The sequence below is a fragment of the Homo sapiens genome, chromosome 5, assembly GCF_000001405.40.
Source record: "Homo sapiens chromosome 5, GRCh38.p14 Primary Assembly".
Taxonomy (NCBI): Eukaryota; Metazoa; Chordata; class Mammalia; order Primates; family Hominidae; genus Homo; species Homo sapiens.
In genome coordinates this window covers 179,613,952-179,636,053 of record NC_000005.10, presented here as the reverse complement: position 1 = coordinate 179,636,053, position 22,102 = coordinate 179,613,952, and the positions used below count along the sequence as shown (strand labels likewise).

Sequence of the window (22,102 nt, the reverse complement as noted above, 5' to 3'; positions counted from 1 at the left end):
TTAAGTATTTTTTAATTTTTTGTAGAGACGAAGACTCGTTTTGTTTTCTGGGTTTCTTTTTTTTTTCTTCTTCTTTTTTTGACAAGAGTTTCACTCTGTCGCCAGGCTGGAGTCAGTGGCACGATTTCGGCTCACTGCAACCTCCACCTCCCGGGTTCAGGCAATTCTCCTGCCTCAGCCTCCCAAGTAGCTGGGACTATAGGCGGGCGCCATCACACTAATTTTTGTATTTTTAGTAAAGACGGGGTTTCCCCATGTCGGCCAGGATGGTCTCGATCTCTTGACCACATGATCCACCCACCTGGGCCTCCCAGAGTGCTGGGATTACAGGCGTGAGCCACGGCGCCTGGCCCCCTGGGCTGGTCTTGAGGTCCTGGGCTCAAGTAAGCCTACCTCTGAGCCTTCCAAATTGTTGGGCTTATAGGCGTGAGCCACTGCACGGTCTCAAATAATTATTTTAGGGTTGAGTTTTTACTGAATCTGGTGAGTTTGACTAATGTAAGACTTCCCTTTGGCCCTGGGCAAGTATAAAAGATAAATTGAGGCCGGGCGCGGTGGCTCATGCCTGCAATCCCAGCAGTTTGGGAGGCTGAGGTGGGCGGTTCACCTGAGGTCAGGAGTTCGAGACCAGCCTGATCAACATGGAGAACCCCTGTCTCTACTAAAAATACAAAATTAGCCGGGCATGTGGTACATGCCTGTAATCCCAGCTACTCGGGAGGCTGAGGCAGGAGAATCGCTTGAACCCAGGAGGAAGAGGTTGCTGTGAGCCGAAAGTGCGCCATTGCACTCCAGCCTGGGCAACAAAAGAGAAACTCTGTCTCAAAAAAAAAAATTTTTTTTTTAATTAAAATTAAAAAAAAAAAAGAAAGATAAAGCGAAGTCCATGTGTCAGGAGCAAGCACAGGACAAAGTCACACAGAGCGGTGTGAGAGGGAGGCTGGGAGGGCAGCCACAGCTGTGCGGGGTGGTCTGGAGAGGACATGGGGCAGCCACAGCTGTGCGGGGTGGTCTGGAGAGGACATGGGGCAGCCACAGCTGGGAGCGGGGGCAGGGGCTGGGGAGGAGAGGAGGAATGTGCAAGCTCAGCTGTGCAAGCTGGGGTCAATGGCTACATCAGAACCAGACCCCATTGCTGGTAGCTTCACCGTCTCGCTCTCATGGGGCCTCCCAGCTATCCCAAATCTCCAAGAAACAGACTCAGAGACCTGCGGTCAGAGGTCCAGCGAGGGGGAGAGCGGAAGTGAGCTCCAGGCCACGTACAACGGCAGTCCCGGTTCCCCGCCATCAGCACGACCTGTGTGAGAGCACAGGGTATCTGGGCAGAAGGAAAACTAGGGGAGCCTCATCCAGCGCTGGAGATGGAGAAGCTTTGGGCTTCTCGACGGCGAGGCACCCGGGGAACGGGGAGTCACTTAGAACCTCAAAGTAGCCTCGGGCGAGAACAAGCGAAGCAATTCCAAGCTCTACCAGGTCACGGAGGGCGCGAAACCCGCCCCGCGCTCCGGCCGGCCGGCAGGGGGCGCGCGCTCCCCGAACTCCCGCGCACCGCGGAGGAGGCGGCCCTGGCGCGGGGAAGCAGTGGGAAAATCGCAAGGAAGCCGGGTAAGGACCTTTCATTTTCAGCCCTGCTCTTTAAATACTAGACATACCGTCTGGCGCATGTCGAGGCGTGTATTATTTTGATCCAGTGCGCGTGCCGTATGTGACTTGGCTTGGCTTCCCCTGAAAGCAGCGGCTGTGGGGAGTTGATTCGGAAGTGAAGGGCCCTGGGCGACCCGGCGAGTAGAGGCAACACCAACACTCCTCCTTAGCGAGGGGTCTCCCCGCCGCGGTGGCTGCCCGGCCCCAAGGACAGGAGGGATTTGTGCACTGACTCCTGACCCCGTCCTCCAGCGCTGCTCTGAAGGGAGAGTCTGTGCAGTGGCACCTGCGCGAAGCTGGCCAAAGCCTGCCCAGACGGCTCACCTGTGCGGGATGGAACAAAAGGTGAGCCCAGGGGGCCTGATAAAATGACCTCAGTAGCCGCCTGTGGGAGGGGACCCTGAGGAAAGCACCATAGTGACTACCAAGCCTGGATGGTTTTACTGCTTACTTTGTTATTTTATTTTATTTTATTTTATTTTATTTATTTTAGAGACGGAGTCTCGCTCTATCACCCAGGCTGGAGTGTGGAGTGCAGTGGCCCGAACTCGGCTCACTGCAACCTCTGCCTCCCCGGTTCAAACAATTCTGCCTCAGTCTCCCGAGTAGCTGGGAATACAGGTGCACTCTGCGACGCCTGGCTAATTTTTGTGTTTTAGTAGGGACAGGGTTTCACCGTGTTGCCCAGGCTGGTCTCAAACTACTGAGCTTAGGCAATCTGCCCACCTCGGCCTCCCAAAGTGCTAATATTGCAGGCATGAGCCACTGCGCCTGGCTTTTTATTTTATTTTTTGGACAGGCAGGGCACGGTGGCTCACGCCCGTAATCCCAGCACTTTGGGAGGCCAAGGCAGGTGGATCACGAGGTCAGGAGATGGATACCATCCCGGCTGACACGGTGAAACCCCGTCTCTACTAAAAATACAAAAAAAAAAAAAAAAAAAAAAAATTAGCCGGGTGTGGGGCGGGTGCCTGTAGTCCCAGCTACTCGGGAGGCTGAGGCAGGAGAATGGCGTGAACCCGGGAGGCGGAGCTTGCAGTGAGCCGAGATTGTGCCACTGCACTCCAGCCTGGGCGATAAAGTGAGACTGTCTCAAACAAACAAACAAACAAACAAACAGGCCGGGCGTGGTGGCTCACACCTGTAATCCCAACACTTCGGGAGGCTGAGGCGGCGGATTACCTGATCTCTGGAGTTCAACACCAGCATGACCAACATGGTGAAACCCCATCTCTACTGAAAATACAAAAATTAACTGGGCATGGTGGCTCACGCCTGTAATCCCAGCACTTTGGGAGGCTGAGGCAGGTGGATCACGAGGTCAAGAGATTGAGATCATCTTGATCAACATGGTGAAACCCCGTCTCTACTAAAAATACAAAAAATTAGCTGGGCGTGGTGGTGGGCGCCTGTATTCCCAGCTAGTGGGGAGAATGAGGCTGGAGAATCGCTTGAATACAGGAGCTGGATGTTGCAGTGAGCCGAGATCGCGCCACTGCACTCCAGCCTGGCGACAGAGCAGGACTCCGTCTCAAAAAAAAAAAAAAAAAAAAAAAAATTCGCCGGGCTTGGTGGGGCTGTAATCCCACCTACTCGGGAAGCTGAGCCTGGGCAACAAGAGCGAGACTCCGTCTCAAAAAAAAAAAAAAAAAAAAAGATATTTGATTTGGCTTTAGACAGTGAGTGACCTGGCTGAAGCCTTGGGAGGTTCGCACCCGGAAAGTTCAAAACCGGCCGCCTGCGTTGTCCGCCTGGAGGAGGCGCGCAGCGTGAACCGGAGAGGGCGTGCTCGGTCCCTCCTCAGGTGGCCGTCGGGCAGACCCTTCTCCTCAGCGGACGGCTGGACACTGTGGGGACGCCTTTGTTTCCGCCGCTCATGGTGTCTGAATCCACAATTCGTTTACGTGGTTGTGGAGCCGGACTCGGCGTCGGAAGGACGGTCTCCTTCAACACAACAGTGGGGCTCCAGCGAAGGCGGAGAGACGCGGGGATCCCAGCCGCAAGGGCGGACCGTGCTGCCTGGCCGCGGCGGGGGAGGGGGTGCTACCCCATACCCGGGCTCTAACCGAGACGCCCTTTTCTTTTTTCTTTTTTTTTTTTTTGAGACGGAGTCTCGCTCTGTCACTCAGGCTGGAGTGCGGTGGCGGGATCTTGGCTCACTGCAAGCTCCGCCTCCCGGGTTCACGCCATTCTCCTGCCTCAGCCTCCCAAGTAGCTGGGACTACAGGCACCCGCCACCACGCCCGGATAATTTTTTTTGTATTTTTAGTAGAGACGGGGTTTCACCGTGTTAGCCGGGATGGTCTCGATCTCCTGACCTCGTGATCCGCCCGCCTCGGCCTCCCAAAGTGCTGGGATTACAGGCGTGAGCCGCCGCGCCCGGCCGAGACGCCCTTTTCTTAAGTCTCCGCAGCTTGCAGTGTACCACCCGAGCAGGTCCCGGAGGCGGCCGATGCTGTTTATCACTCAGAAATTTAAAGTTTGTTTGTTTTGAGAGAGGGTCTCCCCACTTTGCCTAGGTTGGAGTTAAGGGGCGCGATCTCAGCTCACTGCATCCTCCACCTCCTGGGCTCAAGCGATCCTCCCACCTCAACCTCCTGAGTAGCTGGAACTACAGGCATGTGCCACCAGGCCTGGCTAATATTTAAAAAAAAAATTTTTTTTTTTGAGGTCTTGCTCTTGTTGCCCAGGCTGGAGTACAGTGGCGCGAACTCAGCTCATCGCAACGTCCAATTCTTGGGTTCAAACAATTCTCCTGCCTCAGCCCCCTGAGTAGCTGGGATTACAGGCCTACGCCACTGCACCTGGCTAATTTTTTGTATTTTTAATAGAGGCGGGGTTTCACCATGTTGGCCAGGCTGGTCTTGAACTCCCGACCTCAGGTAATTTGCCTGCCTCGGCCTCCCAAAGTGCTAGGATTACAGGTGTGAGCCACCGCGCCCAGCATGTTTTTAACTTTTTGTAGAGATGGGGCCTCAATATGTTGCCCAGGCTGGTCTTGAACTCCTGACCTCAGGTGATGTGCCTGCCTTGGCCTCCCAAAGTACTGAGATTATAGGCATGAGCCACCACACGGAACCTAGATCATTTTTTCTCAACTTTTTTTTTCATGATCGCCATCTTAAAGATCCTTTCTAGATCTTTTTTCCTAGTTTCCCACCACATGATATTTTAATAACATAGATATACCGTAACGTATATCTTTTCATGTCCTGTGGCCCTTTGGAAGGCAACAAACCATTATGTTACCTAAGATTTATTTCCTTCCCCCTCACAGCCTCCCCATCCCACTACCCCCATGCATTCATACCAGAATTTATTCCATACTTCATTAGACATTAAATTGTTTTCTAAAGCTTCCCTATTTCATGCTGCCATGAACAATCTTGTAATTAAATCAGTGCAAAAGTAGGAATGGAATGTATGCTTTAATGAAATGTATGTTTTTTGATTTTTGTTTTTGTTTTTTTTTTGAGCTGTTTTTGTTTCTTTTTTGAGATTTTTTTTTTTTTGAGATGTCGCCCAGGCTGGAGTGCAGTGGCACGATCTCGGCTCACTGCAAGCTCTGCCTCCCGGGTTCACGCCATTCTCCTGCCTCAGCCTCCTGAGTAGCTGGGACTACAGGCGCCCGTCACCACACCCAGCTGATTTTTTGTACTTTTAGTAGAGACGGGGTTTCACCATGTTGACCAGGATGATCTCAATCTCTTGACCTTGTGATCCGCCCACCTCGGCCCTCCAAAGTGCTGGGATTACAGGCGTGAGCCCCCGCGTCAGGCCGAAATGTATGCATTTATACTGCAAATAGCCCTGAGCGAGAGGGTGTACCAATTTACACTCCAAGCACAATGTACCTTGATGGCATCTCCCTGCATCCTTTCCAGCTCTCTTAATTACTCTTTTAAATGATCATTAATTTGAAAATTAGTTGCAAAGGCTTTGCGTTATTTTATTTAATTTGCATTTCTTTGGTTACCACTCAAAGGGACACTTCTCAAGCCTATGGATCATCTGCATATTTTCTTTTCTTTTTCTTTTTCTTTTATTTATTTATTTTTTTGAGACAGAATTTCACTGTTGTTGCCCAGGCTGGAGTGCAATGGCAAGATTTCAGCTCACCACGACCGCCGCCTCCCACATTCAAGCGATTCTCCTGCCTCAGCCTCCCAAGTAGCTGGGATTACAGGCATCTGCCAGCACGCCTGACTAATTTTTGTATTTTTAGTAGAGACAGGGTTTCTCTATGTTGGTCAGGCTGGTCTTGAACTCCCGACCTCAGGTAATCCACCCACCTTGGCCTCCCAAAGTGCTGGGATTACAGGCATGAGCCCGGTCATCTGCATATTTTCTTTTGCAAATCTCAGGGTTCTGTTTTTTTGTTTTATTTTGAGACAGAGTCGTTCTGTCACCGAGGCTCGAGTGTAGTGGCGTGATCTAGTCTCACTGCAACCTCCGCCTCCCAGGTTCAAGTGATTCTCCTGCCTCAGCCTCCAAGTAGCTGAGATTACAGGCAAGTGCCACCATGCCTGGCTAATTTTTGTATTTTTTTAGTAGAGACGGGGTTTCACCATGTTGGCCAGGCTGGTCTCCAACTCTTGATGTCAAGTGATCCACCTGCCTTGGCCTCCCAAAGTGCTGGGATTACAGGCGTAAGCCACTGCACCCAGTCTACTTCATATTATTAAGAAATCCATGAAAATATAATTATAATGGCTATAACATGTCTTCACATAAAATAATTGGAGTATAACAGTTTCCATCAAATCTAAAATATCATCAATTTTAAGTCCCACCATTATTTTCTGTACTACTACGAACAAATTCTGGCCTGGCATGGTGGCTCATGCCTGTAATCCCAGCACTTTGGGAGGCCGAGGCAGTCAGATCACTTGAGTTCAGGAGTTCCAGACCGGCCTGGCCAACCTATCTCTACTAAAAATACAAAAATTAGCCTGGCATGGTGGCATGTGCCTATAGTCCCAGCTACTTGTTGGGAGGCTGAGGCAGGAGGATCACCTGAGCCTGGGTGGGGGAGGTTGCAGTGAGCCAAGATCATGCCACTGCACTCCAGCCTGGGCGACATATCATCATTATTATTACTTTTTTTTTTTTTGAGACGGAGTCTCGCTCTGTCACCCAGGCTGGAGTGCAATGGCGCGATCTCGGCTCACTGCAAGCTCCGCCTCCCGGGTTCGAGCCATTCTCCTGCCTCAGCCTCCCGTGTAGCTGGGACTACAGGCGCCCGCCACCACGCCCGGCTAATTTTTTGTATTTTTAGTAGAGACGGGGTTTCACTGTGTTATCCAGGATGGTCTCGATCTGCTGACCTTGTGATCTGCCCACCTCGGCCTCCCAAAGTGCTGGGATTACAGGCGTGAGCCGCCGCGCCCAGCCGGGTTATTTATGATTGCATTTATTTTCTTTTCTTTGAGGCACAGTCTCGCTCTGTCACCTAGGCTGGAGTGCAGTGGTGTGATCTTGGCTCACTGCAACCTCTGTCTCTGGGGTTCAAGCCATCCTCCCACCTCACACTCCTGTGTAGCTGGGATTACAGACGTATGCCACCACACCCGGTTAATTTATCTTTTTTCCTACACTTGATCTTTGCCAAAAGGATGAGATGTGATAATGTAGTAGAGACGGGGTTTCACCGTGTTGGCCAGGTTAGTCTGGAACTCTTGACTTCAAGTGATCAGCCCACCATGGCCTCCCAGAGAGCTAGGAGTACAGGGTGAGCCACCATGCCCAGCTGATATCATTGGTTTTAAAACACATTCCTGGCCAGGTGCGGTGGCTCATGCGTGTAATCCCAGCAATTTGGGAGGCTGAGGTGGGTGGATCACCTGAGGTCAACATGGCAAAACCCGGTCTCTACTAAAAACACAAAAATTAGCTGGGTGTGGTGGCAGGCACCTGTAAACCCAGCTACTCTGGAGGCTGAGGTAGGAGAATCGCTTGAATCTGGGAGGTGGAGGTTGCAGTAAGCCGAGATCATGCCATTGCATTCCAGCCTGGGTGACAGAGCAAGACTCCATCTAAAATAAATAAATAAATACAAATTTTTAAAAAAGCAGAAGAAAATAAATAAAACACATTCCTATCTTATTGAGGCTAAGCTGTACAAAATGTGTCTTACAAATGATACTAAAGATAACAAATATGTGCTCAATCTCTGGATGGGAAAGGGCTTTCTAAACTTAAAGACAAACCTCAAAGGAACATATCCATGGCTTTGACATCAAGAAATTTAAAACTTCTATATGTCCAAATATTAAAAAGCAATCATAGGCCGGGTGCAGTGGCTCACACCTGTAATCACAGCACTTTGGGAGGCTAAGGTGGATGGATCACTTGAGGTTCGGAGTTCCAGATCAACCTGGCCAACATGGTGAAACCCCATCTCTACTAAAAATACAAAAATTAGCCGGGTGTGATGGTGCATGCCTGTAATCACAGCTATTTGGTATTTTTTTCCTTTTTTTTTTTTTGCAATGGAATCTCCCTCTGTTGCCCAGGCTGGAGTACAGTGGCAGGATCTCTGCTCACTGCAACCTCCACATCCTGGGTTCAAGTGATTCTCCTGCCTCAGCCTCCCAAGTAGCTGGGATTACAGGCGCCCACCACCATGCCCGGCTAATTTTTGTATTTTTGGTAGAGACAGGGTTTCACCATGTTGGCCAACATGTCTGAAACTCCTGACATCAAGTTATCCACCCACCTCAGCCTCCCAAAGTGCTGGGATTACAAGTGTGAGCCATTGCACCTGGCATATCCCAGCAATTTGGGAGATTGAGGCACAAGAATTGCTTGAACCCGGGAGGTGGAGGTTGCAGTGAGCCGAGATCACATACCTGCACTCCAACCTGAGTGACGAAGTGAGACCCTGTCTTAAAAAAAAAAAAGGCATAAATCAGGGCCGAGCATCATGGCTCACATGTAGAATAATCCCAGGGCTTTGAGAGGCCAAGGTGGGAGAATTGCTTGACGCCAGGAATTCAAGACTAGCCTGGGCAACATAGTGAGACCCCCATCACTACAAAAAAAAAAAAAATTAGTCGGGCCTGGTTGAAAGTGCCTTTAGTCCCAGCTACTCAGGAGGCTGAGCTTGGAGGATGGCTTGAGCCCAGGAGTTCAAGGCTGCAGTGAGTTATGATTGTGTCACTGCACGGAACAAGACATTGTCTGTAAAACAAACAAAAAATACCACCACAAAACCACAAAAATAATTAAAAGGTAAGCAAACTGAGAAGAATGTCTGGGGCAACTATCCTAAGGGCTAACAGCCTTAATAAAGAGCTCTGTAAACTGTAAGAAGTATACGAAGACATTAGCCGGGCGCAGTGGCTCACACCTATAATCCCAGCACTTTGGGAGCCCGAGGTGGGCGGATCATGAGGTTAGGAGATCGAGACCATCCTGGCTAACACGGTGAAACCCCGTCTCTAGTAAAAATACAAGAAAATTAGCTGGGCGTGGTGGCGGGCGCCTGTCGTCCCAGCTACTCTACTCGGGAGGCTGAGGCAGGAGAATGGTGTGAACCTGGGAGGCGGAGCTTGCAGTGAGCGGAGATCGCGCCATTGTACTCCAGCCTGGGCGACAGAGCGAGACTCCGTCTCAAAAAAAAAAAAAAAAAGAAGTATACCAAGACATAAAGACCACTGAGGCAAGATGATGAATTTTTTTTTTTTTTTTTAAAGACAGAGTCCTGCTCTGTTGCCCAGGCAGGAGTGCAGTGGTGCAATCTCTGCTCACTGCAACCTCCACCTCCCAGGTTCAAGTGATTCTCCTGCCTCAGCCTCCTGAGTAGCTGGGATTACAGGCACGCGACACCATGCCCGGCTACTTTTTGTATTTTTAGTAGAGACGGGGTTTCACCATGTTGGTCAGGCTGGTCTCTAACTCCTGAACTCTTGATCCACCTGCCTCGGCCTCCCAAAGTGCTGGGATTACAGGCATGAGCCCCACGCGTGGGCTGATGATTAACTTTTTATTTAAAAAAACCTTTGGCCGAGCATGGTGGCTCATGCTTGTAATCTCAGTACTTTGGGAGGCCGAGGCAGGCAGATCACTTGAGGTCAGGAGTTCCAGACCAGCCTGGCCAACATGGCAAAACCCCATCTCAACTAAAACTTAAAAAAAAGTAGCCAGGTGTGGTGGCACACACCTGTAATCCCTCTACTTGGGAGGCTAAGGCATGAGAATTGCTTGAACCTAGGAGGCAGAGGTTGCAGTGAGCCAAGATTGCACCACTGTACTCCAGCCTGGGTGACAGAGTTAGACTGTCTCAAAAACAAAACCAAACAAAAAAACCTTTCATTGCCAGCCATGGTGGCTCACACCTGTAATCCCAGCACTTTCTCTGCGAGGCTGAGGTGGAATGATTCCTTGAGCCCAAGAATTCAAGACCAGCCTGGGCAACAAAATGAGACCCCATTGCTACAAAAAATAAATAAATAAATAAATAAATAAATAAATAATCTGAGCAAGGTGGCACATGCCTGTGGTCCTACCTACTCAGGAGGCTGAGGCAGGAGGATTGTTTGAGCCCAGAAGGTAGAGGCTGTGGTGAGCCATGTTTGCACCACTGCACTCCAGCCTGGGTGACGGGCTGTGTCTCAAACAAACAAATAAAAAATAAAAATTTAAAAACCTTGTTTTAATATAAGTTGGACAATTTATATATAAGAGAATTGGCTATAAGTGTATGAAATGTATTCTACCTTACTACTATTCTTTTTTTTTTTTTTTTTGAGACGGAGTTTTGCTCTTATTGCCCAGGCTGGAGTGCAATGGCGTGATCTCAGCTGACTGCAACTGCTGCCTCCTGGGTTTAAGTGATTCTCCTGCCTCAGTCTTGCCAAGTGGTTGGGATTACAGGCATGCATCACCATGCCTGGCTAATTTTTTTTTTTTTTTTTTTTTGAGAGGGAGTCTTTGTAGCCCAGGCTGGAGGGCAGTGGTGTGATCTCAGCTCACTGCTTCCTCTGCCTCCTGGGTTCAGGTGATTCTCCTGCCTCAGCCTCCAGAGTAGCTGGGATTACAGGCGTGTGCATGCATAGATAATTTTTGTATCTTTAGTAGAGATGGGGTTTCACCATGTTGGCCAAGCTGGTCTGAAACTCCTGATCTCAAGTGATCTGCCTGCCTCGGCCTCCCAAAATGCTGGTATTACACGAGTGAGCCACCGCACCTGGCCGGACTCTCTTCTTGATTACCTCAGCCAAAGTGCCTTCTGAAATGGTACCACAGGTGTGTGCTTCTAGTTCAGTTTGTAGTAGAGGGCCTGGTATGTACCGTCATTCACCCTGCCTGCTCCATCTGCATCCCCCTCACATCCAGCAAGAGTTTTCCTTTACACAGGGTTTACGGCTCCCCTGCTGATCACCTGCCAAAGCCTTCTCTCGGAGATAACACCCTTGCCAAGGCCTAAGTGGCCTTTGAAGATCAGGCCCTGCTTAGCTCTGGGCTCCTGTCTTTCTTTTGATGTCCTCTCTACTTTTTCTCAAACCTGTCAAAACTGGATTCGGACTCTGTGGCACTGGGGTTGGAAACATGCTTTGTCCGCATCTTCCCAGGGTGGCACTCAGGCTTGCACTAGCTAAGGTAGCTCTGCGGCAGGGTCCAGCACTACCTTATTGTTAATTTGTGTATTGTCTGTGTCCACTAAAGCTGGGGTGAGGAAGGCAGCCAAATCAGACATGGGGAGGCCTGGGAGGCTACGGCATCTTAGGTTTTGGGCAGTGCTGCTAGAAACCACGAACATTAGTCATCTCGCAGCATGTGTGCACATGGGGTGACCCGGGGGCCTCCTCGAATGCAGCGTCTACGCCTGGTGAATGGACGCACTCTTACCAATTCTGCTCTGGGAGATGCAGCGGTAACCTACCGAGCGCAGAGGCCGGCGCGCACCCGTGGAGCCCGCGCTCGCGATCCCTCCTCGTGCCAGGGCCCCAGGGCAGTCAAGGCCTGCCGACCGTTAGGCGGGTCAAGGGGTACACAGGGTGCGAATTCGTTAGGCAAAAGCTGGGTACAGGCGCGAGCCACAGGCACGGAAACCTCGCGCCGACCGGGGCCCTAGGCCCGACGACGGCAGGTAAGGGGAAGTGGAGGCACACAGGGCTGGGACGTGCCCCAGGCACCATACGGGTGGCTTCGGGCGCGGGACGTCCGCAGCCCCGCAGCTCCCAGGACGTTCGACAATCTGCAGCTGACCAGCTTCGGCCGGTTTGGGGATAAAGGGAAGACAGGCGGCGCGGGGAGTGGGAACGCCTGAAGGCCGCGCCCCTCCTTTCAGGTCGGCCAGGAGCGCGCCGGTAAGAGCCTGGGGGCAAGGGGTAGAAAGACGCCCACCTCATCACAACCCAGAGCTCGGGACTCCTATACAGTCCCATAGGGAACAGGCGGCCGCCATTCCCCTCCCCCACGCTGGCGGGTAAGGCTAGAGAACGGTTTCAAGGAAGACGCATGCGCATGAAATAATTATAAACCGCTAGGACTCCGAAGTTCAATATTCGCGGGAAGGCGCAGGCGCAACAAAAAGCCCGGCGGGTTTATGGGTGGGGGTGCTGAGCCCAAAACCCAAGCGTGTAATAATCCGCCGGCGGGAGGTGGGCTGGCTCTTGAAATTACGCATGCGCCAGAGCTCTTTGTGACGCAACGGGGCGGTGCGGGCAGCTGGCTGCGCGTGCGCAGAACTCGCACAAGGGACCTTATTTAGGTTGCGCAGGCGCCCGCTGGCCATTTCGTCTTAGCCACGCAGAAGTCGCGTGTCTAGGTGAGTCGCGGTGGGTCCTCGCTTGCAGTTCAGCGACCACGGTGGGTACCGTTTTTGCGAGGATTGTTTGTCCCCATATCTCTGGGAGGGCCACGGGGACCTTGGCGAGCTGCAGGCTGCCGTCGAGAGCCGCGAGTGGTTCGCTGAATCTCGGCACCGCCGCTGAGGCCTGCAGGCCGCGCCGACTCTATTGTGTGAGAAGTCGGAGGAGGCGGAGCGGAAGCGGCCGCCGCCATTTCCTTTCCTCTACGCTGGCTCTCGGCCCGGGCCCCCACGGTTCGGGGCGCCGACAGCTGTTGCTCAGGACAGCTTTGGGGGTCCGGTCGCCGGACGAGGAGGTGTTGGAGTCGCCGGGGTGGGTGCATCCGCCCGGTTTTTGCTCCGTGGGGGGGCGGTGCGGGCCCGGGCGCGCCTCGGAGGCGAAGGACAGCTTAATTGGCGCTCTCAGTTCTGGTCCTCCCCGCTTTGCAGTTTGTTTCGACGCCGGACCGCGTAAGAGACGATGATGTTGGGCACGGAAGGTGGAGAGGGATTCGTGGTGAAGGTCCGGGGCTTGCCCTGGTCTTGCTCGGCCGATGAAGTGCAGAGGTTTTTTTCTGGTGAGTTAGAACTAGGACGCGGGAGTTCGAGTTCGAGGCCGGGGCGGGCGGGCTGGCGGGCGGCCGGGCTGGGGCGGGGCGGGGCGGGGCGGGCCGGGCCGGGCCGGGCCGGGTGGGACCCGGGGCGCCCCCTGGCGAGGCGCGGGCGACTACACTCACCGCTGTGCTGCTCGCGCCCGGCGGCCCGCTGTTACGCAATGGAAATTTCGAAAGCCCCGCCCGTCCTCCTGGCCCTTGGGGGAGTGCGGCAGGTTTGGCAGACTTTGTTTTCTTTACCTATCTTTGAACACCAGCTTTTCTTTTATGGGTGTCTTTTTTTCTTTTTCTTTTGAGTTGGAGTCTCTGTCACCCAAGCTGGAGTGCAGTGGCGCGTTCTCGGCTCACTGCAACCTCCGCCTCCTGGGTTCAAGCGATTCTCCTGCCTCAGTCTCCCGAGTGTCTGGGACTAGAGGCGCGCACCGCCACGCCCGGCTAATTTTTGTATTTTTAGTAGAGACGGGGTTTCACTATTTTGGCCAGGCTGGTCTCGAACATCTGACCTCAAGTGATCCGCCCACCTCGGTTTCCCAAAATGCTGGGATTACAGGCGTGAGCCACCGCGCCTGGCCCGGGTGTCTTTTTTCGAAAGGATAAATTGGCATAGGTGGGATTTCCTCCTCAATCTTGAGAAAATGGCCGAGTGATTAGACAAATAATAGTAATGTTTTGCAATATCTTGAAGTGTAACCTCTTGTTTCCAGTTTTGGTGTTTTCTTAAAAAGGAGCATTCTTCGGAAAGTTAAAATGTCACGTCTTAATTTCAGTTTTCCTAATCAAGATTTGATAATTGAAGAGTGTTTTCTTATCTAGTTCTTAATCTGGCTCACTATACAGTTGAAGACACTGAAGCCCAGGGAAGTGTTTTTGCAGTACATAGGTTTCCTGAATATTTTCTATCAGAATGTCCTTGTTCCTATTATTAGACTGGGAAAAAGAAATTAGACTGATTAAAATTCTATTTGGATGAAATTAACAGCTTTTGGCAAGACGTTTGTAGTATTGACTTACTATCTGAATTTAGCGTTGGTAACGGAAAGCGACCTGTAAAACAAGAACCAAGTACGCTGGAAGCCGCCTTGCAGGGGGCAACACTGGGTTTGGCTTCAGCTGTGCAACTTGGAGCATTTTAGCTTGGTAACACTGATCCCCTTTCAGGTGAGTATTGGGCTTGTAATTTGAATTTGAATGAGAAACCGTAATGTGGCTACTGGTAAGGTAAAACGGATAAATGCCCCAGACCAAAACAGCTCGCAACGAAGTATGTTTGCCGTAAAGTCACACAGTCCAGGCTTGATAATCTTCTGAGAAATTGATAAAAGATGTGTGATGTAGACATGAGTAGCAAGGACTAAAGAGATAAATTCATTCTGAAACTGCTTTGAATATTGTATGTTGTTGATGGGTTGGAAATATATCACCTTAGGAATGAGTTTGTTTTTTTTTAATTGGAGTTTTAGGAGTTGGTAATATCGTGGTCAGTATATATAGGCTTCACAAGTTATGTAATTTGTAGTGGGGACATGGAATAGACATTTCATCTGTGTCACCCAGAGGTGGTTTTAGGTTTTAAATTCTGTATTAACGGTTGTTTTCTTTCCAGACTGCAAAATTCAAAATGGGGCTCAAGGTATTCGTTTCATCTACACCAGAGAAGGCAGACCAAGTGGCGAGGCTTTTGTTGAACTTGAATCAGAAGATGAAGTCAAATTGGCCCTGAAAAAAGACAGAGAAACTATGGGACACAGATATGTTGAAGGTTTGATTTACATTGCCCTAGTTACAGTAAATAAAGCATTAAACAATAGAGGTCTCACCCCTTCTGAATTTTAGGTATTTGACTGCATGGAAATGGTCATCTAAGGGAGTTTGTGGCAGCTCTTCCTAGCTTATCTAAAGACCCAGGAAGTCTGAACTTTGTTATCTAATTTTCCAAAAGTGACTAATTCTAAGCACCTCTTTCAGTATTCAAGTCAAACAACGTTGAAATGGATTGGGTGTTGAAGCATACTGGTCCAAATAGTCCTGACACGGCCAATGATGGCTTTGTACGGCTTAGAGGACTTCCCTTTGGATGTAGCAAGGAAGAAATTGTTCAGTTCTTCTCAGGTATGTAGTCATGTTTGTTGCTGAGCAGTGAGTTTTGGCTAGCTTATGGCAAGGTGATTTAATAGACGTTAAAGTTGAGTAGCTTAGGTATTTCAGTAGGTTGTAAATTGCCAATGAATTAATGTTTTCTTCCTAGAGACCTTCAAATAATTTAAGCCCATCTTAAAGGTGGAAATGAAGTACTTCCAAAATGTTAACTTTGCCTATATTTAGTATTATAGTTCAGAGTAGATCTTTCATTGAGGATTGCCCTCAACAGCTTAACTACTTTCCTCACATTGGTGTCCAGCTAAGTACCTCAAGTTAAAGGTAAGATCCCTTTACCAGCAGATCATCAGTGCGATGAATTAGGTTGTTGTAAATTATGGCAAGTGTCTGTGTTGCAAGAGACACGTATTTGGGTCATGTGACCAGAAGCATCTAATGGTCTAATTCTCTTTAATGCAAAAGTCGGTTTATGAAAGACTTGGTTTAACCTGTGTGGTATAAACTTACTGAAAATCAGATGTAGTGAGAGTAGTTTGAATGCTTGTAGTCTCAGTATCTGAAATAAGTGTTTTGAAATTGTTCCTGGGCCTAAAGTATTTGAATGTTTTTATGCTGAAGAGCTGATAAGATTGCATGTTTAACAATGTTAGATAAGATATCGTATATTTTAAGTATTAATATTTATGATGTGATACGCTGGAAGCAGGAAATCCTTTCATGGTTTAGTGTAGTATGTTAAAAATTGATATATGTATCGAGTCCTAATGTCAGAATTTTTAAAATCAAGTCTGTTTTGTTTTGACACTAAATTGGTGAGAATTGAATGCTGTCAACGTTAAATATGAACATAATTTCATATCTTCTAGGAAAGTGCTTTAAGTCCTTTTTGTAAGCTTGGGAATGTATCCACGGAAAGGATTTTTCATAGACGGAATTTCCAGAAGTGAATCATAACTACTGTTAGAGCATAAGCATGCATGATTGTGCTGTGTAGATCAGTTTTGTTGAAAGTTTAGATTGTTGTGTTTGTCAATTATAATTTAATGTTTCAGTTTTTATATGAAATGTTGTAAATGTATACCTTTTTAAAAACTTGAAGTTCCAATAACTTAAAGCATTGAAATATAAAATGAGGTAAAAGGTGTTTTGAATTTAGTAAAACTGTTATTTAATGCTTAAAACTTAATTGAATTGTATAATTCTCAACATTAAGTTGCATAGATATGTGTTCTTAAGTTGTTGAATTCTTAATGCATCCTGTGTTCAGCAAGTTTTTTTTAATATATACTGTACCATGGGTGTGTTAAGAATAGTTATACTTTATAATAATGGAACTTCATATTATTGCAATGCATATTTAAAGAGTACTTGTTGAAAGCATACCATTCACCTAAAGTTAAAAATTCTGGTTTATTTAAAGCTATAAGAAGAATCATTTCTGGGCTTGTGATGTTAATATTGCCCCCCTACTGGGGTTATTTGTCCTTGGGTTGAAGGGTTGGAAATCGTGCCAAATGGGATAACATTGCCGGTGGACTTCCAGGGGAGGAGTACGGGGGAGGCCTTCGTGCAGTTTGCTTCACAGGAAATAGCTGAAAAGGCTCTAAAGAAACACAAGGAAAGAATAGGGCACAGGTGGGGATGGATGGTTGGTTGGATATGTCACTTTTCTTATGGTAAACAATTAAATCCATATTCTCTCTGCTTAAAAGAAGAAATTAATGTTTTGTAGTCCTAGGTAATTGATGTTTTGCCATGATTTCCAAACTTGTGTCAGTCCCACGTTACACGCAAACTAAATTTTAGGTTTGAAATTTGTCCCTAGTTAATTGGTCTGCTTGACAATTTTGTGAGTCTTATTAACCCCAATCAATAGAGTTGAGAGACTATGGCTTTAAAAAATTAATGCAAACCTGGCTTTAGCTGTAATAACACCCACCTAGAATAAATTAATATTACCATAAGAAAATGTGATACTTTCTGATCTTGTTTTTAAAGTTGAAATGCAACAAACTTTTTCTTGCTGTATATAAATATTCTGCATAGTATTAATAAGCATAGCTTTCAAGAAATTGTCACAAAAGGTTTTATTCTCTTTGCTTGTGACTATTTTTCATTGAAGCATGCGCTTACCTATGCTGATTCTTACTAAAAGCATAGGCTGGGGTATTTATTGGCGAAAGGAAATGTGTAGTGTGGGCTGGACTGTTGGTGGAGGCTGGCTTTTTAGCCCACTTGCTATACATGCTGCCAATGGATTTAAGACTTGAAATGTTGAAAGTTGAGTGGAATTATTTCCCTCCTAAAACATTTATTTACAGTACTCCTCTCTACCCCTAAGGTTGGGCTCTGCCTCAGAGGAGTGAGTTTTTTTTTTTTTTCTATAAAGTTTACATTGTCTTACTATTTATTGAGTGAATTTCTGGTCATTGCCTATGCAAATATAAGAAATCTGGCTTTAAATATTAGTCAGTTTCATGGCTATGACTAGATTGTTTTCTTGTATAACTAAATACCTGTATAAAATGAACTAATGTTTTCTCTCCCCTCCCTACCCCTTCCTTATGAACAATGCTTTAGGTATATTGAAATCTTTAAGAGCAGTAGAGCTGAAGTTAGAACTCATTATGATCCACCACGAAAGCTTATGGCCATGCAGCGGCCAGGTCCTTATGACAGACCTGGGGCTGGTAGAGGGTATAACAGCATTGGCAGAGGAGCTGGCTTTGAGAGGATGAGGCGTGGTGCTTATGGTGGAGGTACGTGAGGATTCGTAAGGTTCGGCAAGTCGTCTGTTCCTTTGTCTAGGTGTTTTATTTGATTGATTGTACTTTGTCTTTCAGGCTATGGAGGCTATGATGATTACAATGGCTATAATGATGGCTATGGATTTGGGTCAGATAGATTTGGAAGAGGTAAGGTAAGAATTGAATTTCTCAGTTGAAGGATGCTTACACTCTTGTCCATCTAGACCTCAATTACTGTTTTTCAGGAATGTCTGATCACAGATACGGGGATGGTGGCTCTACTTTCCAGAGCACAACAGGACACTGTGTACACATGCGGGGATTACCTTACAGAGCTACTGAGAATGACATTTATAATGTAAGTGTGAGATGAACTCACAAGTCAATATTTCAGTATGGCAGTAAGTCAGCCTTATTCTATAAATGTGAGCACTATGTTAGAAATTTTAGGTTTTTTTTGTAACGTTAGAAAGTTGGTTGAATTCTTTGAAATGCCTTGTGTTGTAGTTTTTTTCACCGCTCAACCCTGTGAGAGTACACATTGAAATTGGTCCTGATGGCAGAGTAACTGGTGAAGCAGATGTCGAGTTCGCAACTCATGAAGATGCTGTGGCAGCTATGTCAAAAGACAAAGCAAATATGCGTAAGTGTGATTGAGCATTTGTGGGCTCTTAACAGGTGATTGTGTGACTAACATTTACAATAGAGAAATGGAAAAATAAGGATATATGAGAAGTTTCCTCTCCAGTAATAGATTAATTCTTGGGGGATGCGGGGGCAGTGTGTTGAAGGTTTGGGTTTTAAAAATTAGTATAACGGATTTGTGATATGCACATCTTGAAGTGTATATCCTTAATTGACAATACAGATGAATATGTAAAGGCTAGATTTTGGAGTTAAAGTAGATCACCTAAGAGAAGTAGCTAGAATTTCTTTGCCAAAGTATTTGAAGTTCACAGATCTGCTTGTTTAAAAACTTTATAAAAGTGCTTATTCTGTTTTGTTTCACCAACAAACATTTTCAAACTTTTTTTTTCTCATTTCAGAACACAGATATGTAGAACTCTTCTTGAATTCTACAGCAGGAGCAAGCGGTGGTGCTTACGGTAGCCAAATGCTAGGAGGCATGGGTTTGTGTAAATATCACTTTAGTGTCTTTTTTTTAAGCTAACCTTGTATGCCTTTTCTCTCATTTCAGAACACAGATATGTAGAACTCTTCTTGAATTCTACAGCAGGAGCAAGCGGTGGTGCTTATGGTAGCCAAATGATGGGAGGCATGGGCTTGTGTAAATATCGTTAGTTTTTTTAAAAACCAAAACGTTTATATCTGTATAAGTCAATTATAAGTTAAGTTAATCTATTTATTTAATAAGTTTAGCATAAGAAACTTAGGCAAAGCAGTTTCTTGATATTTGAGTTTTGTATCTGGCTTACTTAAATCCTTGTGAGTTATGAAGTTCCTTAGGATAGATAATTCAAATTAGGTTTAAGTAGTCTTGGGGGAGGGGACTACGGAGTGAAACTACTTAAATTTTCTAAGTATAAAGTTTAAATCAATAGCAAAACAGGATTAAGATAAATGTGGGCATAATTAGGTGTATTGACATGCCTTTGATGTATCAAACTGAGGGGGAACCCACTAAATCCAGTCAAGCAGTTTCATAAGATCTTCACAAAATGCCTCTACTTACGGAATCATGTTGATTTTAGTCCTGCTGATGTGTGTACCGTTAGCACTTTGGTTTATCAATATTTGACTGGCTCAAATGATGGATAGAAGGGTGGCCTGGTTATAGACAGTAGGCAGAAGGAGGCAGAGGGTTACAGTAATGTAAGATCAAGACTGGAAAATGATAGCTATAGAATTACAAGCCCGGTACCACCAGGTACCACATCACATAAGAAAAAAGGTTCTAATGTTTTCTTAACTTAACAGCAAACCAGTCCAGCTACGGGGGCCCAGCCAGCCAGCAGCTGAGTGGGGGTTACGGAGGCGGCTACGGTGGCCAGAGCAGCATGAGTGGATACGGTAAAGCCTGTTTGTTACTGTACTTAGAGTAAGTTATGGTAAAGCCTGTTCATTACTGTACTTAGAGTAAGTTATGGTAAAGCCTGTTACTGTACTTAGAGTAAGTCGCAGGCAGGTGCCTTTAGTTGGGAAGATGCAGGCTCCTTTCGGTGAAATTGGGTTATGAAATGTATGCTTTCAATCCAAATGTAACTGTTTTTACTAGCTAATTTTCAGAAACAATCATTGGGAGGGGGAAGTGTTCTTTGAATTAAGAACTAGTCATTGCAGCTTTGGAATACTGTCGAGCCAGAAAATATCTGCCTCCATGTATTAAAACATTAAATAAAGTTGTTCACTTTTTTGTCTTTTGGTTAGCATTAAGTCAGTTTTAGACAGAGGGAGAATTTGAAATAGTAGAATGGTGGTTGGGTTCAGGATCGTATTTATTAGTCAGTTAACCTAGGATTGGTTTTATTTATTTTTTTTCAATTGGTCTAAAGAATGGTGATTTTGGTATTATAGTCTTACCCTACAAAATCCTTTTGCAGACCAAGTTTTACAGGAAAACTCCAGTGATTTTCAATCAAACATTGCATAGGTAAATATTTTCTCAAAAAATATAAATTCCCAATAGCAAATACTGATATGTTGTAATAATGCTTTCTATAGCAGTCAATGGCTCTGACTTAACTCCATGGAGGCTGCCATTTGGGCACAGTGAGTTGCCTTTAGTCCAGCTTGGTTGTCTCACTTCCTGCCCACCATGAATAGGAAAAGCAAGAGACTTCCCCTGTGCTCCCTTTTCTCAAATGCCATTCGAGGGACACATTGTGAATGTTTATGTTAAATTTTTTTTAAAAATGCCTTGTTTAGCTTTAAAAATACGAAGTAATTTTGCAATTTTTGAAAAACACTAGTTTTCCTTTAAACTTAATTTTTCATGTTGATCCTGAAGAATCCGTTAAAATGGTAGCACAAGAGTCTGGCAAGTTGGTACTGCAGAGAAAAGGGGTTAATTGAGGCTTGTTTGGAGTCGGGATTCCCCTTTCCCAAACATGCGTCTCGCCACTTGGACAGCAGCCATTTGTACTCGTATACTTTTTAAACTTTTTCTTGGAATACTATATTTTATTTGACTGGTAGTCTGATATTACTCCTAACTTGTCAAATTGATCTCTTTGCAGGTAACCAAGGAGCAGTGAACAGCAGCTACTACAGTAGTGGAAGCCGTGCATCTATGGGCGTGAACGGAATGGGAGGGTTGTCTAGCATGTCCAGTATGAGTGGTGGATGGGGAATGTAATTGATCGATCCTGATCACTGACTCTTGGTCAACCTTTTTTTTTTTTTTTTTTTTTTCTTTAAGAAAACTTCAGTTTAACAGTTTCTGCAATACAAGCTTGTGATTTATGCTTACTCTAAGTGGAAATCAGGATTGTTATGAAGACTTAAGGCCCAGTATTTTTGAATACAATACTCATCTAGGATGTAACAGTGAAGCTGAGTAAACTATAACTGTTAAACTTAAGTTCCAGCTTTTCTCAAGTTAGTTATAGGATGTACTTAAGCAGTAAGCGTATTTAGGTAAAAGCAGTTGAATTATGTTAAATGTTGCCCTTTGCCACGTTAAATTGAACACTGTTTTGGATGCATGTTGAAAGACATGCTTTTATTTTTTTGTAAAACAATATAGGAGCTGTGTCTACTATTAAAAGTGAAACATTTTGGCATGTTTGTTAATTCTAGTTTCATTTAATAACCTGTAAGGCACGTAAGTTTAAGCTTTTTTTTTTTTTAAGTTAATGGGAAAAATTTGAGACGCAATACCAATACTTAGGATTTTGGTCTTGGTGTTTGTATGAAATTCTGAGGCCTTGATTTAAATCTTTCATTGTATTGTGATTTCCTTTTAGGTATATTGCGCTAAGTGAAACTTGTCAAATAAATCCTCCTTTTAAAAACTGCACTCTGTCTTGTCTGTGCTTCAGTGTCATGTGGACTGAGTCTTGGTGCTCTGTGCCCACCTGGGGCCTAGGGCCACATCTCTGGCTTGGCAGTTGAGGCTGTTGCGTAGATGTCTTCAGTCTTCCCTCCAGTGCAACTGAAGGTAAACTCGTCTTTGGGGCCCTGGTGGAAGGGCTGTATGTCATTTGGCTGCACAGGACCTGATCTGAACTGCCTGTAACTCATTA

General features: G+C 46.4%; 1 protein-coding gene and 1 long non-coding RNA gene across 53 annotated transcripts in view, besides 6 other annotated features; one reads left to right on the top strand and one right to left on the bottom strand.

Annotated features, from left to right (window-relative positions):
- The window catches only part of LOC128966623 (uncharacterized), a 130,785-nt gene that overhangs the window by 17,188 nt on the left and 91,495 nt on the right, over positions 1 to 22,102 (bottom strand).
- HNRNPH1 (heterogeneous nuclear ribonucleoprotein H1) lies at positions 1,270 to 21,876 on the top strand. Of its 52 annotated transcripts, none has more exons than NM_001364233.2 (15): positions 1,270 to 1,605; positions 1,897 to 1,989; positions 12,890 to 13,017; positions 14,657 to 14,812; positions 15,019 to 15,162; positions 16,647 to 16,785; positions 17,731 to 17,909; positions 17,994 to 18,065; positions 18,122 to 18,255; positions 18,405 to 18,540; positions 18,944 to 19,003; positions 19,096 to 19,185; positions 19,836 to 19,928; positions 20,459 to 20,508; positions 21,095 to 21,876. In NM_001364233.2, exons 3-14 carry the CDS (start codon positions 12,921 to 12,923, stop codon positions 20,506 to 20,508), a joined length of 1,350 nt encoding a protein of 449 aa, NP_001351162.1. In that variant the 5' UTR covers positions 1,270 to 1,605; positions 1,897 to 1,989; positions 12,890 to 12,920; the 3' UTR covers positions 21,095 to 21,876. The 52 variants fall into 52 exon arrangements, with proteins under 52 accessions (NP_001351162.1, NP_001351154.1, NP_001351163.1 ...); NM_001364225.2 differs by lacking the exon at positions 20,459 to 20,508 and adding an exon at positions 11,939 to 12,076; NM_001364234.2 differs by adding an exon at positions 11,939 to 12,076 and having other exon boundaries at positions 1,270 to 1,989.
- Positions 3,050 to 3,550: an enhancer, noted in NCBI's record as "H3K27ac hESC enhancer chr5:179059505-179060005 (GRCh37/hg19 assembly coordinates)". NCBI's record gives its function as "activates a minimal SCP1, AML or CMV promoter by ChIP-STARR-seq in naive H9 embryonic stem cells {active_cell/tissue: H9 hESC(naive)}" and the evidence as "EXISTENCE:reporter gene assay evidence [ECO:0000049][PMID:30033119]".
- Positions 10,772 to 11,556: an enhancer, noted in NCBI's record as "NANOG-H3K27ac-H3K4me1 hESC enhancer chr5:179051499-179052283 (GRCh37/hg19 assembly coordinates)". NCBI's record gives its function as "activates a minimal SCP1, AML or CMV promoter by ChIP-STARR-seq in primed H9 embryonic stem cells {active_cell/tissue: H9 hESC(primed)}" and the evidence as "EXISTENCE:reporter gene assay evidence [ECO:0000049][PMID:30033119]".
- Positions 11,557 to 12,342: an enhancer, noted in NCBI's record as "NANOG-H3K27ac-H3K4me1 hESC enhancer chr5:179050713-179051498 (GRCh37/hg19 assembly coordinates)". NCBI's record gives its function as "activates a minimal SCP1, AML or CMV promoter by ChIP-STARR-seq in primed H9 embryonic stem cells {active_cell/tissue: H9 hESC(primed)}" and the evidence as "EXISTENCE:reporter gene assay evidence [ECO:0000049][PMID:30033119]".
- Positions 11,557 to 12,386: a biological region, named in NCBI's record as "Sharpr-MPRA regulatory region 11836".
- Positions 12,092 to 12,386: an enhancer, noted in NCBI's record as "tiled region #11836; HepG2 Activating DNase unmatched - State 1:Tss, and K562 Activating DNase matched - State 1:Tss". NCBI's record gives its function as "activates a minimal TATA promoter and a strong SV40 promoter by Sharpr-MPRA in HepG2 and K562 cells {active_cell/tissue: HepG2 | K562}" and the evidence as "EXISTENCE:reporter gene assay evidence [ECO:0000049][PMID:27701403]".
- Positions 12,442 to 12,611: an enhancer, noted in NCBI's record as "active region_23754". NCBI's record gives its function as "activates an Ori minimal core promoter by ATAC-STARR-seq in GM12878 lymphoblastoid cells {active_cell/tissue: GM12878}" and the evidence as "EXISTENCE:reporter gene assay evidence [ECO:0000049][PMID:35858748]".

Bases quoted from the DNA above. Each gene is read 5' to 3' on its own strand.
- HNRNPH1 (NM_001364225.2), top strand. From the start codon at position 12,921: ATGATGTTGGGCACGGAAGGTGGAGAGGGATTCGTGGTGAAGGTCCGG. The intron at 14,813-15,018 runs GTTTGATTTACA...CACCTCTTTCAG, and splicing joins GGGACACAGATATGTTGAAG to TATTCAAGTCAAACAACGTT. The intron at 19,929-21,094 runs GTAAAGCCTGTT...ATCTCTTTGCAG, and splicing joins GAGCAGCATGAGTGGATACG to GTAACCAAGGAGCAGTGAAC.